The sequence below is a fragment of the Homo sapiens genome, chromosome 7 (genome assembly GCF_000001405.40).
Source record: "Homo sapiens chromosome 7, GRCh38.p14 Primary Assembly".
Lineage (NCBI taxonomy): Eukaryota > Metazoa > Chordata > Mammalia > Primates > Hominidae > Homo > Homo sapiens.
The window spans coordinates 72,318,828-72,337,601 of NC_000007.14; the positions used below are offsets into that span (position 1 = coordinate 72,318,828).

The window sequence follows — 18,774 nt, forward strand, 5'->3', positions numbered from 1 at the left end:
AGGCATGTGTCAGGAATGGCTATTATTAAAAAGTCAAAAGAAAAAAAAAAAGATGCTGGCAAGGATGTGGAGAAAAAGAATGTTTATACACTATTAGTCTGTTAGTGTGAATACAAATGAGCACAACCTCTATGGAAAACAATATGAAGATTTCTCAAAGAACTGAAAAGAGAACTACATTTGATCCAACAATCCCACTACTGGGTATCTACCCAAAGGAAAAGAAATCATCTTATCAAAAAGAGATCTGCACCCATATGTTTATCCAAGCACTATTTGCAACAGCAAAGATAAAGAATCAACTTAAGTGTCCATCAATCGAGGACTGGATAAAGAAAATGTGGTATAGACATATATATTCTGTATTATTTCGTTTTCATGCTGCTGATAAACACATACCCGAGACTGGACAATTTACAAAAGAAAGAGGTTCCACAGACTCACGGTTCCACATGGCTGGGGAGGCCTCACAATCATGGCTGAGGGCAAGGAGGAGCAAGTCACATCTTACATGAATGGTGGCAGGCAAAGACAGAGAGCTTGTGCAGGGAAACTCCCTCTTTTAAAACCAAGAGACCTCATGAGACTTATTCGCTATCACGAGAACAGCATGGAAAAGATTCAATTACCCCATGATTCAACTACCTCCCACTGGGTCCCTCCCACAACATGTGGGAATTCAAAATGAGATTTGGGTGGGGACACAGCCAAACCATATCATATACACATACACACAATGGAATACTACTTAGCCATGAAAAAGAATGCAGTAGCACCATAGATGGAACAGGAGGCCATTATCTGTAAGTGAAATAAGTCAGAATACTATTTGGTTTCCAAGCTATGCACAATATACTATGTTAACAAATACATATATTTTTTAATTTTTAAAAGAACAGAGGTAAATCTGTGGTGAGGCTGGGGTGAGATGTCCACTGAAGGCAAGGGGGGTGGGCCTTGGGAGCTAAATAATGTGTACACACGGACATAGAGAGTGGAAACATAGACAATGGAGACTCAGAAAGGTAGGAGGGTGGGAGGGGATGAGAGATAAGAAATTACTTAATGGATACAATGTACACTATTCGGGCGATGGTTACACTAACAGCCCAGACTTCATCACTAGGCACAGCTTGGCCAACATGGTGAAACCCAGACTCTACTAAAAATACAAAAACAAATTAGCCAGGGCGTGAGACAGGAGAATCACTTGAACCCAGGAGGCAGAGGCTGCAGTGAGCTGAGATCGTGCCGTTACACTCCAGCCTGGACGACAGATCGAGATGACACAGCGAGACTCCATCTCATAAAAAAACAAAGAGCAGACTGTGGTCCTCTAAAAATCAGGCTGTAATACCAGGCAAGCAGGCAGAGAGGGAGGGCCAAGATCAAGCCAAGCTGCTGACCAGGGCTAGGACGGCGGGCTAGGACCCCAGCCTACGACCTTGCAAAACGGTAGAGCAATCCAGTACCATTCAGGCAAGGGTAAGTCCCAGGAAATCCAGTCCAGTGAGTCGAGCCTGAAGTGCGGGAGGATTCAGGGAGCTCTATCTGTTCCCCAGGTGCACATGCTCCCGGAGTGGCTCTTATTGGGGAAGCAAGAATGAGGTAACAAGTTTCGGGATGGAAGCAGAAAAGAGCCACGGTCCTGGGACCTAGGATGACATAAGCAAAGAAGTACTCTGCAGACACTTGTACAAGTTGAGCAATTAGAATTACAGAGGCAGCTGGAAGTGATGGCTCACGCCTGTAATCCCAACACTTTGGGAGGCCGCGGTGGTCGGATCAATTGAGGTCAGGAGTTCAAGACCAGCCCGGCCAACATGGCAAAACCCCATCTCTACTAAAAATACAAAAATTACCCAGGCATGGTGGCATGCACCTGTAATTCCAGCTACTCGGGAGCCTGAGACAGGAGAATTGCTTGAGCCAGGGAGGCGGAGGTTGCAGTGAGCCGAGACCACACCACTGCACTCTAGCCTGGGCGACAGAGCGAGACTCCATCTCAAAAAAAAAAAAAAAAAAAAAAAGAATCACAGAGGCAGCCTAACCTAGCAGGTTAAGAGCATGGCTTTTGAAGTCATGAGTCCAAACTCACTAGTCCACAGCTGTGTGACTTTCAGCCAGGTATTTAACTTCTCTGGGGTTAGGTGCCCTCATCCATAAAAACGTTATTGAAAAGATTAAATGAATTAACCTATGCCAAGTACTTAGAAAGCAGCACTTACATAACCATAAGCTGTAAGTATGCTGCCTCAATCTTTATGCTCACTTTCAGCTGCCCCCTAAGACTTCACCTATTCAATTTAAACACTTGATCTTCTAGGACATAATGCACACACCCTGAAAAAGCACTGTCTATTTGAGTCCTTGAGTTTCGCATTTATTGTCTTCATCTCAAGGCAGCTCACAAAGAGCCGGGCAGGAAACCGTCCCTGTCGACACTGACATGCTGAGACAGGTGACTTGGGTTGAGAAAGCAAGAAAAAAGGATCCAACGAAATACAACTTATTAGTCATCACGCGTTGAGCACATCACGGCTGGGTGATAAATGCCAAGAGCATCAATTATGAACTATTCTTACAACAAGCTGAACATATTCACCACAACACCAAGAAATCTATAGGTTACAAGTGTTCTCTATGGGTTTCAACGACAGGAGACAATATTTTGGGCGAAAATCGTAAACGTAATTGTTTTGCGTGAAGTGGGGCAGCCTACATCAGCGTCCCACCTGGAAACAAGCTGTTGAACATCTGTCAAGGTGTCAACTCCAACTGCAGAAGCAAAGAATTTCATTAAGCTTCTGTGTAGTTAACTAAAGTTGGTGAGGTGCCTGGAGGGAGGGGACGGAAAATCACAGGTATAATTAACTGTGACATCGCTGGAGTCACAGGTGCCTTTAACGTGACTATACCCGCAGTCTTTCTGGATAGCTCTGTCTCCTGATTCTCCCTTACCAAGAACAGCACAAAGTGTCATCTCTCTTGGCATCTTCCTGCCACGTCTGTCCTCCTGAGCAGACCTCCTGTTCTAGTGGTCTGTGACTCTAAACAAATCACCCTGGGTCCCAGCTTCCTCCACCACAAAACACAGTGGTTTAGACCAGCTGTCCCCAACATTTTTGGCACCAAGGACCAGTTTCGTGGAAGACAGTTTTTCCCATGGACCGGGGGCAGGAGAGGATGGTTTGGGGATGATTCAAGCACATTCCATTTATCGTGCACTTTATTTCTATTATTATTAGATTGTAATATACAATGAAATAATTCTACAACTCACCATCATGTAGAATCAGTGGGAGCCCTGAGCTTATTTTTCTGCAACTGGATGGTCCCATCCGGGGGTGCTGGGAGATAGTGACAGATCATCAGGCATTAGACTCTCATAAGGAGGTTGCAACCTAGATCCCTTGCATGCACAGTTCACAATAGGCTTCCTATGAGAATCTAACACTGCCGCTGATCTGACAGGAGGCGGAGCTCAGGTTTACGGTAATGTAAGCAATGGGGAGTGGCTGTAAATACAGAAGCAGCACCGCTCCCTTCCCCACCGCTCACCTCCTTCTGGGTAGCCTGGTTCCTAACAGGCCATGGACCAGTCAGTACCCATCCATGGCCAAGGGGTTGGGGACTTGTTTAGACTAGATAATTCCTAAGTTCCTTTCCATTTCTCCAAGCTTCCAATTCTGACACTATAAATTCTGACCAGGAGTGAAATAAACCAGGCACAGAAAGACAAACTTTGCATGTTCCCACCTATTTGTGGGAACTAAAAATTAAAACAATTGAACTCATAGAGATAGAGAGTAGAAGGATGGTTTCCAGAGGCTGGGAAGGGTAGTGGGGGAATGTGGGGGATGTGGGGATGGTTAATGGGTACAAAAAAATAGGAAGAATGAATAATACCCTAGTACTTGCTAGGACAACAGGGTAACTATAGTCAAAAATAATTTAATTTTAAATTTAAAAATTTAAAATCCCTTGTTCATAACACAAGGGATAAACGTTTGAGGGGATGGATATACCCCACTTACCCTGACATCATTATTACACACTGCATGCCTGTATCAAAATATCTCATGTACCCTATAAATATGTACCCACAAAAATCAAAAAAATTTTTAAATAAATAAATATCCTGGGTGGAGTGGGAACAGAAAAAGGACAGGGGAGGGGAGGGGAGGGGAAGGCACGCAAAAAAACCAATTTGTAATTCAAACCACACAGAAAAAAAAAAAAAAAATTCCTGACCAGGGACAGGAGAATATGCTAAATCTTGAAGGATAAATAAGTTTCATCCTGACAACTGGTTCTGAGAGGGACCCTGTAGAGAGGACTCAGAGTGTGCTGTGAGCCTTTGCAGTGAGTCTGTCTTGTTCTGAGGGGTGGGAAAGGCAGGAACCCAGTCCTTTGTTCTCTAACCCTGCCCTGGATGAACCCACGCTACCAGGCATCTCATGAAAAGGCAGTGATTCTGGAAGCCCTTCGTGTGAAGCTACGGATGTCAGGAAAATGCTTCTCTTAACTAGCATCTTGGTAGTCCCACTGTGGTCCACCCTATAGCAGTGGTGGCTGCAGCTTGTTGGAAATGCCTGCTCCACGGGCGATTGCCTGAGGTCAGGAGTTTGAGACCAGCCTGGCCAACATAGTGAAATCCCGCCTCTACTAAAAATATTTTAAAAATCAGCTGGGCATGCTGGCATGCACCTGTAATCCCAGCTACTCAGGAGGCCAAGGCAGGGGAATAGCTTGAACCTGGGAGGCAGAGGTTGCAGTGAGCTGAGATCACGCCACAGCACTCCAGCCTGGGGACAGAGCGAGACTCCATCTCAAAAAAAAAAAAATAAAAAATAAAGAGAACAAAAAGAGAAAGAAAAAAAGGGAAAAAAGAGTTGCCTTCCCCAAACTCAACGATCATAATTTGCAGTTTAGGCTGAGCACGGTGGCTCATGCCTGTAATCCCGGCACTTTGGGAGGCTGAGGTGGGTGGATTGCTTGAGTCCAAGATTTTGAGACTGGCCTGGGAAACATAGCGAAACCCCATCTGTACAAAAAACACAAAAATTAGCCGGGTGCTGTGGCACACGTCTATAGTCCCAGCTACTCGGGAGGCTGAGGCAGGAGGATCACTTAAGCCCAGGAGGTTGAGGCTGTGCCACTGCACTCCAGCCTGGGTGACAGAGTGAGACTCTGGGTTTTTTGTTTTGTTTTGTTTTTTTAAATGCAGTTCAACAAGATCCCCTGGTTGGCACATCCCTTGGAGAAATGGTGTCCGAGTGCCCTGGTTCGCAAAGTTGGCTGTACAGTGGAATCACCACTGCCTCCCAGGCCCCAGGAGACTCCTGGGATGTGATTAGAGCATTGGAATTTTTAAGCCTCCCCAGAGAATTTTAATGTGCAGCAAAGTTTGAGAACCACTGAATTAAAATCTCTGCTTCAGATTCTAGCACTCAAATCCAAGTTCTGGAGGGATTTCACCTCCTCCAGAAAGGTCTGTTTCCTGAAAAAGCATCACTGATAACCATCCTTTTCCAAGACCACAGCAGGGTCATCCCATCTCTGGAGTTATCATTTATGACGGGGTCACTGTCCCAATCATACCTGCCTCTTGCATTTACCTTCCCTCCTAATATTATTCCCCAATAACCTCCAAAATCTTTCCCTAGGAGTGGAAAGCTCATTTTCAGCTCTGGCTCTCTCTCTCTTTTTCCCTCCTTTTAAATGATGTAATTTATTTATTTATTTATTTATTTATTTATTTATTTATTTAGAGACAGAGTCTCCCTCTGTTGGCCAGGCTGGAGCTCAATGGGGTAACTTGGCTCACTGCAACCTCCGCCTCCCGGGTTCAAGTGATTCTCCTGCCTCAGCCTCCCGAGTAGCTGGGACTACAGATGTGTACCACCACACCCGGCTAATTTTTGTATTTTTTTGGTAGAGACAGGGTTTCACCCTGTTGGCCAGGCTGGTCTTGAACTCGTGACCTCAAGTGATCCACCCGCTTCAGCCTCCCAAAGAGCTGGGATTACAGGCATGAGCCACTGCTCTCAGTCTCAAATTTTTCCCTGTTGCCTACTACCCTTTGAGGGTTCCAGGGAGTTCTGTGCTGGGTTTTTGGAAGCTCGACAGATGCATTTATCTCTTTGGGTGTCGAGAATTAGAGAATTTCAGCGTTTACTTAAAGATTGCTGGGTGCACTGGCTCCTACCTCTAATCCCAGCACTTTTGAGAGGCCAAGGCAGGAGAATTGCTTAAGGGCAGGAGTTCAAGACCAGCCTGGGCAACATGGTGAAACCCCGTCTCTACAAAAAAATTTTAAAAGTAGCTGAGCTTGGTGGCAAACTTTGGTCCCAGCTACTCAGGAAGCTGAGGTGGGAAAATCATTTGAGCCCAGGAAGTTGAGGCTGCAGTGAGCCATGATTGTGACTCTGCACTCTAGTCTGGGTGATAGAGATTCTGTCTCTGAATAAATAAATGAAAATAATGCTGTCCGGGTGCAGTGGCTCATGCCTGTAATTCCAGCACTTTGGGAGGCCAAGGTGGGTGGATCACCTGAGGTCAAGAGTTCGAGACCAGCCTGGCCAACATAGGGAAACCCTGTCTCTACTAAAAATGCAAAACTGAGCCGGGCGTGGTGGTGAGCACCAGTAATCCCAGCTACTTGGGAGGCTGAGGCACAAGAATCGCTTGAACCCAGGAGGCAGAGGTTACAGTGAGCCAAGATCACACCATTGCACTCCAGCCTGGACAACGAGATTGAAACTCTGTCTCGAAAATAAATAAATAAAACAAGAGTGAAACTCTGTCTCAAAAATAAATAAAATAAAAATAATGCAGGAACCAAGTCAGTTAGTTGCCTAGGTAAATAACTTGAGGCTTGGGTCTTGGCAGGAAAAGAAAACCACCCATCTCTGCTGAGGGCAGATGATCTATTGGTGACCTGCTCCCACCAAGTGACTCATGAAGGGAACGGATTGATGGCAACCCACAAAACAGGCTTGAAAATGCAATAACCTCGCAGAGACCTCTCTGCCGCTTGACATCTGGGCAAAAAATGTGATTTAACTGTTTTTTGGTGGGCTTTTTTAGAAGACAGGGTCTTGTTCTGTCACCCAGGCTGGAATGCAGTGGCACAATCTCAGCTCACTGCAACCTCCACCTCCCGGGTTCAAGCGATTCTCCTGCCTCAAGCCTTCTGAGTGGCCAGGATTACCGGTGCCCGCCACCACGCCTGGCTAAATTTTGTATTTTTAGTAGAGACGCAGTTTCACCATGTTGGCCAGGCTGGTCTCGAACTCCTGGCCTCCCGAGGTCCGCCTGCCTGGGCCTCCCAAAGTGCTGGGATTACAGGCGTGAGCCATCATGCCTGGCCTTAATTTAACTATTGAAAGTGGTTTTACAAACTCAGATCCTGATCGTCCTTGCACAAAGGTTGCTTGTCTTGGATAGGCACAGAAAGGATGAAGGCTTTAGCTAGTGGGTTACATACCTCTGGGTTTCCAAGTACTAAGCCGTGACCCTGTGCAACATCTCTGTGACCTGGCTACATCTCTGTTTCTTCATCTGTAAAATGGGAGAAATAAAGCAGATGACACCTACTAAGCACTAAGCTAGTTTGCCTGCTGAGATGGAATATGTGTTTATGTGTATGCATATAAAATGAATCATCAGCCACAGATCAGATTAAAAAGCAGAGCAACTGGTTTTCCGAACCAGCAGTAGGAATGCTGGAGGCTGAGACGCCACATCAGTGTTCAGTACAGATGTTTGAGGTTTTCTTACCAGGCTATAAAAATGTTTACACAGTAATTAGGCCTGTTATCAGTACACAAACAGATTACAATTTGCAGAATGAATGAACAGCTCAAAAACCCTCTCGGTTTTCATGAGGTTCGGAGCATTTTCCTAATTCTTGGGTTTACAAAAATAAATTCGGTTTCCAATAACAAGGAGCCACAGCTGAGTGTAGGGGAAAGGGCTCTGGGGTGTGAAATGAACTCTGTTTGACAGTGCACATGTCACTCAGTCTCTCTGACTGAGTCTCCCCATCTGTCAAATGAGCTAACCAAGGTTCCTCTTCTCCTTTAAATTCCATGGTTCTATTACTTTGCAGTCAATGTCTTCTAAACACATATTCATTCTTTTCACCACAAAAGGATATGTTTAGTTAATGATTTTTAAGGTAGTAATTCTGCTGAATCACATGAGACTCCAATCCAACACTATTCAGTCATATTGAGACTGAGTTTGTGGCAGTTAATTCCTGACAATGAAGCCCCCAAGCCCAGTCTGTAGGATGAGACCACAAGGTCAACTTGGGCTTTATGTGAACATCCAGCTCTTCCAGAACACATCAATGGTTCTGAGTAACACTTGATTGAGGCTGGGTGCAGTGGCTCACGCCTGTAATCCCAGCACTTTGGGAGGCTGAGGCGGGAGAATCACTTGAGGTCAGGAGTTTGACACCAGCCTGGCCAGTATGGTGAAACCCGTCTCTACTAAAAATACGAAAATTAGGTGTGGTGACACGTGCCTTTAGTCCCAGCTACTCAGGAGGCTGACGCAGGGGAATCCCTTGAATCCAGCAGGCGGAGGTTGCAGTGAGCTGAGATCACGGCACTGCACTCCAGCCTGGGCAACAGAGCAAGACTCTGTCTCAAAAATAAATAAATAAACGAACACTTCATTGAACGTTTTTCTTTTCCTGTTTTCAAAGAATAATACTTAGTTGTAACAAATATGACACCAAAATAATTAGCCAAGCTGTCGAATTTGCACTTCTACATTTTCCTATTGCCTAACTTTTGATAATGAAAAAGTGCACGCGATTTGTAATCGTGATACAAACTTTTGGGATCCAATGATGTTTGGGAAAGCAATAATGTTTAAATGTTCAGAAATAAGCTTTTAATGAATATTTAATTGCTCTATTCTTCATAAGTATAAATTATGCTTTCAGTAACACTCTGAATACTAAAAAGGCAAGGTTCAGTTCTTCCTAGTTATGTGTTCAAATTTCCTAATAATTTGTTTAAAAGGGGGAAAAAAAGGTCATCTTGGTTTCAACCTCTATGAGAAGAAACTTGGAGAGTAATTTAGAAGCAAAGTAACTTCTTACAGCAATACCTCAAATTCAACAAAATTTAGATGTATGTATTTGAAATGCATAGAAAAAAATCTAACAATATATGTACTTGAAATGTTAATGGTATTGAGAATGAGAGTGAAGAAAGGTGCCTTCCAAGTTCTATGTAACATTTCTGTATAGCTTTTAATTTCTTTTTTTAAAAAAAAAATGTTTACTTTCATCGCTAAAAAATGTCTTAAGCACAAAACAGAGCCACTTATTGGGCACCTTGTCAAAACATGTAATACAGTTTGGCTGTGTCCCCACCCAAATCTCACCTTGAATTGCAATAATACTCACGTATCAAGGGTGGGGCCAGGTGGAGATAATTGAATCATGGGGGTGGTTTCCCCCATACTGTTCTCATGGTAGTGAATAAGTCTGATGAGATTTCATGGTTTTACAAATGGGAGCTCCCCTACACAAGCTCTTTCCTGCCATCATGGAAGACATCCTCTTGCTCTTCCTTCATCTTCCGCCATGATTGTGAGGCCTCCCAGGCATGTGGTACTACTGTGAGTGCATCAAGCCTCTTTCCTTTATAAATTACCCAGTCTCAGGTATGTCTTTATTAGCAGTGTGAGAACAGACTAATACGATGAGCATCCTGTGTTTTGTCCCAACCAGGACCATGGGTTTTTGAGATTAAAACTCCCAAAATAAGATGGTAGGGGAAAGTGTTTTGTAGATATAGTCTCCCAACATTCTATTCAAGGCATTGGTGATCATCGGTGTCTACATTTATTTACTTTTGTTGAGACAGAGTCTCGCTCTGTTGCCCAGGCTGGAGTGCAGTGGCACAATCTCAGCTCACTGCAACCTCCGCCTCCTGGGTTCAAGCAATTCTCCTGCCTCAGCCTCCCAAGGAGCTGGGATTACAGGCACCCACCACCATGCCCAGCTAGTTTTTTATATTTTTAGTAGAGACGGGGTTTCGCCAGGTTGGCCAGGCTGGTCTTGAACTCCTGACCTCAGCTGATCCAACCATCTCGGCCTCCCAAAGTGCTGGGATTACAGGCGTAAGCCAACGTGCCCAGCCCGGTGTCTACATTTTAAAACAAACATTTTTCCGATTGTAAATGTGTGTTCATTTGCAAAACCATAAAATCATTCATAACGCCAACAGCTTTGGACAAGCATTGTTAACATTTTTGGTCCATTTATTTCCATTGTTCTTCTGTACCACGTTTTTAAACAAAACTGAAATCATACTATAATTGCAGTTTTGTTTGTATCCACACTTAACTGGTACGTTAGAAATCACCAAATTAAGGTCACCAAAGCATTTTCTCTCCATCTGTTACTGTTAAACACTACATTTTATTTTACACTCTGATGGATAAAGACTCACTTTATTGTACCACAGTAGTGCAGGCAGAATGGACAGCTGGAGACAGGATGATCTTTGGAAAATATAGACTAAGTCATATCATTCACCTGTTTAAAACCCCTCAGTGGCTTCTACTGAACTCAGTATCAAACCCAAACTCCACAGGGTGACCCTATATGAGCTAGCCCCCATCTCTCTGAACTCATCTCCTGCCACACCAGTCTCCTTCCTTCTCCTCTAATGAACCCAGTTCATTCCTGCTTTGAGACTTTTGCACTGGCTGTTCCCACACCCTGGAAGTTCTTCCGCAGATATTTCCCCACTTTATCCCTTCATGTCATTCTGGTATCAGCCTAAATAGAGCTCATCAGTGAGACCTTTCTTGGTTGGGCGCGGTGGCTCATGCCTGTAATCCCAGCACTTTGGGAGGCTGAGGCAGGTGGATCACCTGAGGTCAGGAGTTCGAGACCAGCGCGGCCAACATGGTGAGACCCCGTCACTACTAAAAATCCACAAATTAGCTGGGCGTGGTGCCACGCACCTGTAATTCCAGCTATTCAGGAGACTGAGGCAGGAGAATCGTTTGAATCCTGGAGGCAGAGCTTGCAGTGAGCCGAGATCGCGCCACTGCATTCCAGCCTGGGCAACAGAGCAAGACTCCGTCTCAAAAAATAAATAAATATAAATACATAAATAAATAAAAATAAAAATACAAAAATTAGGTCGGGCGCAGTGGCTTATACCTGTAATCCCAGCACTTTGGGAGGCTGAGGCAGGCGGATCACCTGAGGTGTCAGGAGTTCAAGACCAGCCTGGCCAACATGGTGAAACCCCGTCTCTACTAAAAATACAAAATTTATCTGGGCGTGGTGGCGGGCGCCTGTAATCCCAGCTACTCCGGATGCTGAGGCAGGAGAATTTCTTGAACCTCAGAGGTGGAGGGTGCAGGGAGTTGAGATCATGCCACTGCACTCCAGCCTGGGTGACACAGTGAGACTCCATCTCAAAAAATAAGAATAATGACACAAAAATTAGCTGGGTGTGGTGGTGTACGTCTGTAATCCCAGCTTCCCGGAAGGCTGAGGCAGAAGAATCACTTGAATCCAGTAAGCAGAGGCTGCAGGGAGCCAAGATCGTGCCACTGCACTCCAGCCTGGGCAACAGAGCAAGACTGTCTCCAAAAAAAAAAAAAAAAAAAAGAGAGAGAGACCTTTGTTGGCCATCCAATCTGAAGCAGTGCTTGCATCTGTCTCAATTATATCCTCCAATTTTATTTCCATATTTTTTATTGTGTCTTACACCACTAGACTATAAGGGTACCATCTCTGTCTGACGAATTCATCATTTTCCCCAGTACCTGAACCAGAGATGCTCAATACATTCTGGTTGGATGAATGAAAGCATTTTCAAAGAATCCAGATTTGTGGTGCATGAGATAAAGTAACCTACTTAAATAGGTCTTATTCACAGCAGCACAGTCCCTTAATGAGGCTTTTTAAAATAGATTGTCACCCTCTCCAATAGCCTGGTCATGGAGAGCTGCCCACAGCCCTGCCAGTGGGAAGGCAAACCAGTTATTTAGTCTTGCTCGGACTTCGATTTTACTTCTCCACCCTGTTACCTAAACCAGAAACCCAACAGTGACACCTTCCCTTTCTCCCACTTCCCCACCAATTAATAATCCTGCCAATTTTCCCTCCTATGGAAGACAAGCTCAACATCACTGTCACTGTCTTTTAGCAGAATCCTTCCAGTTTCCTTTCAGAAAACAATCTCTCCTGGCCGGGCACGGTGGCTCATACCTGTAATCCCAGCACTTTGGGAGGCCAAGGCAGGTAGATTACCTGAAGTCAGGAGTTCGAGACCAGCCTGGCCAATATGGTGAAACCCCGTCTCTACTAAAAATACAAAAATTAGCCGGGCATGGTGGCGGGAGCCCATAATCCCAGCTACTCAAGAGGCGGGGGCAGAAGAATCGCTTGAACCCAGGAGGCAGAAGTTGCAGTGAGCCGAGATCACGCCACTGCACTCCAGCCTGGGCAACAGAGCGAGACTCCATCAAAAAAAAGAAAGAAAAAAAAGAAAAAGAAAAAGGAGGAGGAAAACAGTCTCTCCCAATCCCAGTGACTTTTCAGAAACCTACCCCTAGATACAGGGACCCAAAACTATGCCAATCAGATATGTCCTCTGAGCATCTTGAATGCAGCAGAATGATACAGTAACAATAACGGAGGACAGGTGAGCCCAAAATTGGGGCTTAGCCTGGGAGGGTTCTTGGCTTTGCCCAGGAAAGAATTCAAGGGCAAGCCAGGGGTGTGAGACAGCAACTTTTTTTTCTAATAGTCACAGAATATCTATTTATTTACTTATTCATTTTATTTTTTTTCCAACTGTTACCTTGTTTTTTTTCCAAGTTTTATCTTAAGTTCAGAGGTACATGTGCAGGATGTGCAGGTTTGTTACACAGGTAAATGTGTACCATGGTGGTTTTCTGCACAGACCATCCCATCACCCAGGTATTAAGCCCAGAATCCATTAGGTATTCTTCCTGATGCTCTTCCTCCTCCCACCCTCCACCCTCTAACAGGCCCCAGTGTGTTTGTGCATCCCCATGGGTCCATATGTTCTCATCACTTAGCTTCCACTTATAAGTGAGAACATGCAGTATTTGATTTTCAGTTCCTGCGTTTGCCAAGGATAATGGCCTCCAGCTCCATCCATGTCCCTGCAAAGGACATGAACTCATCATTTTTTATGGCTGCATAGTATTCCATGGTGTATATGTACCACGTTTTCTTTATCCAGTCTATCACTGATGGGCATGTAAGATGATTCCATGTCTTTGCTATTGTCAATGGGAGACAGCAACTTTCATTGAAGCAGCAGTGTACAGCAGCAGCAGAGATACTCCTTGTAGAGCAGGGCTATTCCCTAGGCAATGTGTGCAAGGTAGCACCCCAGAAGCAGTGCTGCAGTCATATTTACACCCACTTTTAGTTACAGGCAAATTAAGGACAGTTTATGCAGAAATTTCTAGAAATAGGGTGGTAACTTCTGGGTGGTTGGGTCAGTGCCATGGAAAGGGGTGATAACGTCTCGGTGTTGCCATGGCAACAGTAAACTGACATGGCACATGTGTGGGTGTGTCTTATGGAGAGCTGCTTCCACCCCAGCCCTGTTTTAGCTGGTCCTCAATTTGGTCCAGCTACTTGGACCAAATTGAGCCCCACCTCCAAAGTTGAGTCCCACCTCCTACCTCAATAATAATAGAAAAGGTTGGTGATCATTTACTTCCATAGCATCCCCTGGGAGAGACCACAAGTCAATTCCTGCCACTGAGATCCCCTGGACTGCCTAATGCCTGAGTATTCCATGCCTGGTTCTTCAGGGATGTTCTTAATCCTGTGAGTTTCCATCAGTATTCTTAATGCGATCTTTATTGACGTTGTTAGCCAGACTTAGTTTCTGTTGCTTGCAACCCAAGGATCCTAACTGACAACTCTCCTGTTTGCCAAATTCATCCCATCTTCTCCATCCTCCCCACCATGGCCTCATCAGCCTTGTCCGGCTTTCAGAGCCAGCTTCCTCCCTGGTATCCATGTTTCTGGTCTTCTCAGTGCCAAATCCATTCACCACGAAGTCTCCAGCCACAACTGACCATGCCATCCTAACGGAGAAATGCTGAGTCCCTGGGTCCTGACTAAAGGCCCCCACCATCTATCATTCTGGTCACTTCTTTTGTACCTCCCTGTCTCAACCTTTAAGCACCAAGAACTCCAAACTACCAGCTGCTTCCTCATATTCTCCACGTGTTCTAATTTCTCAGACTTTCCCACCCTTTCCTCTGCACCAGAATACCCATGAAAAGCTAACCACGTCCTAATCATCCTTTAAACTCAGCTCAGACATCACCTCCACCCTTGCCTAGCTACCATCCATCTCTGTTCACAAATGTTCAACCCTAACACATGGTCTGGCCTCCCCACTAATCTGTGAATTTTTTGATGACAGGCACTGTGTCAACTTCATCTATCTATCCATACCACATAATAGGCACTGAATAAATGTTTGTTGAATGTTAAATGATTAAAAACTTAATTCACATTGAAAAACCCCAGGTTGGATGCAACAATGGTGTTTTCCTTTTCCTCCTTCCGAACCACATTTGGAATTATCCTCAAATTGAGCGTTCTGAGAAATCTGCCAATGTTCTGCTAATCTTGAAGGATGGTTTCATAGCTTAAGAGTCAGAACTCACACTGTTTTAACGAGCATCAGAGGCTGTTGCTGGTTGCACTGCTTAATGGTTCTCAATCGTGAAAGGACATTTCAGACACTCTGACTACACCAGCTGAAGTCCCAAGTGAACCTATACCAACATGGGTACAGAAAGGGAATATGCAGAAAAAAAAAAAAAAAAAGCTTACCATCAATCATCAAACCAGTCTGGGCTCAAACCAGTACAGGCACACGTGACAAAGAAAGGGTTTTGCTGTGGGATTCTCCTTCCACCCCAGACCAACTGCACAGACACAGCTCCTCCTGTGCCTCAGTTTCCTCACCAGGAATGAGGAATGAGCTGCTGACCTAGATTCACTCAACGAATATAGGGCACCCACTCTGTGTCTGACTCTAAACAAGTTACTGCAGGTCAAAGGTTCCCAAAATACTTTTCCTAAGGAAGCAATGTGGAAAGTGCCCCGCACATAGGATCGAAACCCAGCCTGTTAGCCTCAAACCGTAACTCTGCTTCTGACCTGCAAGCTTCACAGCCCCAGGAAAAGTGATTTCACTTCCCTTTGCATCAGTTTCCAAACACGAAGAATGAGGATGACATGAGCTCAAAGGTGTGAAAGGGTCTGGCACACAAGTAGGGTCTCAGAAATCTGAATTAAGAGGGTCTCCGAAGGCTTTAAACGTCCAAAGTCTATCAATTGGAATTTCTCTCGTAATGAGAACCAGTGCCCCCTTCTGACAACCAGCAAACACTGCATAGGTGGTCAATACAAGAATGTGGTAAAAGACACCACTGCACACACCACAACAGAAGGAAGGACCAGCCACAGATATCCCACCCTGGCTGGTGACCCTCAAGAGACCAGTTTCTATGAAAAAGAAATTTCTAAATGCGACCCCAGCCCTGCCCAATATTTATGAACGGATCAGAAGCTACCCACTGGAGAGATAAATGTAAAACTCAACAATGAACAGTTGTCATCCACCCCTCAACCTGTACCCCCCCTCCCCTTACAGAGGAAAGGGCATCATGTGTGTCAATCAAGTCTTGCCCATCGTTTCTCAACAGAAGCAGCTGAATTAAATTATTTTCGTTCTAAAAAGCCCTTATCCTGCACCCTAGCCGAAGGCCTGATTACTGGCAATAGTTGCTTTCAGAGTTCAGGGAAAGGTGACATCTTGGTGAACAATTCTAAGAGGATTTAGCTCTCCTCCAATAAAATATCGTGAGGATTGGATTTCCAAAGAGTTTTGTTTTCATTACTCCACTTGGATACACCCAGTAACCAACTTCACCATTGTAGAACAGCTTCTCAGTAAACAGCTTCATGCAGCTATTGCCATGAAAAACCCACACGTCTGCAGTGAACTCAACAAACAGAGCCATTCCACTGGTCTTCCACCAGGGCAGGCTACTCTGGAAACACAGCTCAGGGCATCCTTGGGGCTTTGGTAGAAGACCCCACCAACTGCCGGGGGAACTAGCAAAGTTATGCAGTTCCTGGAGCCCTGGAATGAATCCTAAACTGGGCGTGGTGACAGAACCACAAGGCCGAGAGGTCTGAGGTGACACCTGGACATGAGTACAGGTAGCAGATAAAAATCAAAACTCCACATTCTTCTTCCAACACCTCCTCCCACCCCACAAAAAATGAAATAAAACCACGAACAAGCCAAGAAGGAGAGCTGGAATGGGGCTTCTATGAAAAACACGTCCTGTTCTAGCCTCAAGACAATTTCACACCAAATGGCTTTAAATTCCTTTCCAAAGCTCTGATGCCCGAATTGAAAAATAATTTCCCTTTTTGAGCAAAAGTCATCAGTTAAAGAAGCAGAACCTGAAAATGCTAGGAGCTCATGAGTTCTATGTGCACGAATGTTGCGTGTGTCTCAACACACACAGCGCAGAAATCTACCCATTCTTTCTGAGAAGGTCATCCCAACTCTGTCGCAGAGGCTACTGTGGGTCACTCTAGAATGTAGTTATTATCACCACTAAACAGACTTCCCAGCCACACACAGCCGGCGCTAAGCTGCTATTCCCTGAGCCCAAAAAAGTCTCCTTTTTTGCAGAAAACCGGCTCAGGGCCTGGGGATGGCTGGCGCCCCAGTCTTGGCACTCAGGGAACTGCAGGCACCGCTTCACCCAGGAGCTACGGGCTTCGACCCAAATGGAAGAAAGGCGCCTTCCTCACACAAGCCTCGTCCAAGAAAAAAGAGCAGTGGGAAACGATGGTGGGCTGGTGGCCCGGGCGCACGTGGCCCAAGGCTAAGACGCAAGCCGATCCCCTCGGTGCACGCTCTGTACCCCCAGCCCGTCTGGATGGGGCGTCCCCCGCTCGCCCTCGCCCCAAGGGTGGCCCAGAACTACCTGCTGCTGCCTAGGCGCCCTCGGACCAAGTCTCGGGAAGTTCACTCCGCGCTGCGCTAGTCCGGAGAAACTAGGAACCCGAGTAAACCCAGACTGTCCGGGGAAGACGGATCCCACCCCCACCTGGGCGCCAGACCCATCCAGCTGCTTGGAGCTCAGAGACTAGGTCCCAGCCGGACTGCAGAGGCCTCTCTGGTTACCCCTTGCACCCTGGCGCCCCCGGACTCGGGGTGGGTGGCGGCGAGGAGCGTGCGCCCAGAAAGGCAAGCAGTCAGCGCTAGGGGCCGGAGGTGGAGAGAACCCTGCCTCCCGCCTCCCCCGATCGCCATGACTCCGGCTTCGCGAAGAGACCTGGTTGCCGCCGGGCGCTCCCACCTGGGCTGCGGTGCGGCTCCGAGTCCCCTGCCCTCCCTCCCCATCGCCCGGGCGCCTGCGGGCGGGGGCGCGCAGCCTGGTGGCCACTGGCGCCTGGGGGCTAGAAGAGCGGCTCCCAGCCTCCAGCCCGCACGGTGCCGGGACAGCCGAGTCCGCCGCGGCCCTTCCCTAGCCCCACGTCCCCAGGCAGGCGGCCAGGAGCCAGCTCCACGGAAGGCAAGGTGGCCGGCGCGGCCCCCAGCCCGCGGGGTGGGTGCCCCAGTGTCGGAGCCAACAGGTACGGGAGGCGCTGTCTGCCAACCATCTGCCCACTCTGAGCACCAGGGCCCGCGACAGCCCGGGGGTTTGGACACCCTAGAGAGAAGCGAGGACCGAGGGAAGAAGAAAAGAGAGCGCGCGCGCGGGTAAGCTAGGGAGCCGGCGGCGGCACTCACCTCTTGCTGGGCCGGGGCTCCGCAGCCCGGCAGCCGAGGCGCCTCCGCACAGCGCGGGGGGCTTCCTCCGAGGCCCGCAGGGAGGGGGCGGTGCGGAATGGATGCGCCGAGCGGGCAGCGCTCAGCCTCTCGCTCACACCCCCAGCAGGCAGCCGCGTCCCCGTGCCGGCATCCTCGCTGCCGCCGGCTCCCTCGGCGCCCCCGGGCCGCTCCCCACGCGCGCGCCGGGACCTGCACGAGCCCCCTCGTCGACTCGGAGCGCGATCTGGGCGCGTGCCTCCCTGTCCTTGTCCTCTGCTCTCGTCTGGGGACGTGTGCCCCGCACCCCCTGCACCGCGCGCTCCTCTACCCCTCCCGCTCCCGCTGGCCGCGCGGGTTCAGCCCATGTGCGCGGCTGCCTCGCTGCGCCCCGGAGCCCAGTGGCCGAGGCCCCGCTGGAGTTGCGCGCCCTAGAAACTCCATGCAGCTCCGGCCTCCTCCCCAGCTCCTCCCCAGCGGATCCCCCAGGGCCTTGCCGCCGACAGCACCACACTCCTCGCTCTGCCGGCGCCCGCGTTCAGGAGCCGGGCTTCTGGGCTCGCCTTGGCCGCCTGCGCCCCAGCTCCTCCGAGGGTCGGGGAGCCCCCACCCCCCAACCTCCGCCTCTCCAATGGCTCCCTCGGTTTCCAAGCAGCGCAACCTGAGGAACGCCTCGGCGCGCGCGCACTCACACTCGCGCGCACACACACACACACACACGCATGCACATGCACGGCACACACAGGCAGACACGCGGGGGGCGAGCAGGCGCTTGGCAGACGGTGCTCCTTCCTTCCCTTCCCAAAGAGGCTGCCCACGTTAACTCCGGCAAACTGCTGCTCCTCAGCACAGGACAACTCACCCTAGCGCCCGCCGCCTT

The 18,774-nt window shown here is 47.7% G+C and overlaps 1 protein-coding gene across 14 annotated transcripts in view, besides 1 other annotated feature; it reads right to left on the minus strand.

Moving 5' to 3' along the window:
* Positions 1–18,774, minus strand: part of CALN1 (calneuron 1) — a 724,789-nt gene that overhangs the window by 539,337 nt on the left and 166,678 nt on the right. The window contains exons 2-3 of one of the 14 annotated variants that reach the window (XM_011516596.3): positions 7,493–7,566; positions 3,284–3,350 (exon numbers count right to left, since the gene is read on the minus strand). The exons of 8 other annotated variants lie outside the window; for them this stretch is intronic. Coding sequence is in view for 1 of the 6 variants with exons in the window: in XM_011516594.4 (XP_011514896.1) it covers positions 17,443–17,486 (44 nt within the window). In the remaining 5 variants the exon portion in view is untranslated. Of the gene's footprint in view, positions 1–3,283; positions 3,351–7,492; positions 8,431–17,067; positions 17,340–17,442; positions 17,755–17,876; positions 18,565–18,774 lie in introns of those variants that run through there. 5 more of the 14 variants (XM_017012683.2, NM_001017440.3, XM_011516594.4 and 2 more) reach the window with 5 other exon arrangements.
* Positions 7,604–7,804: a silencer, noted in NCBI's record as "peak6577 fragment used in MPRA reporter construct". NCBI's record gives its function as "represses an SCP1 promoter by STARR-seq MPRAs in K562 erythroleukemia cells {active_cell/tissue: K562}" and the evidence as "EXISTENCE:reporter gene assay evidence [ECO:0000049][PMID:32103011]".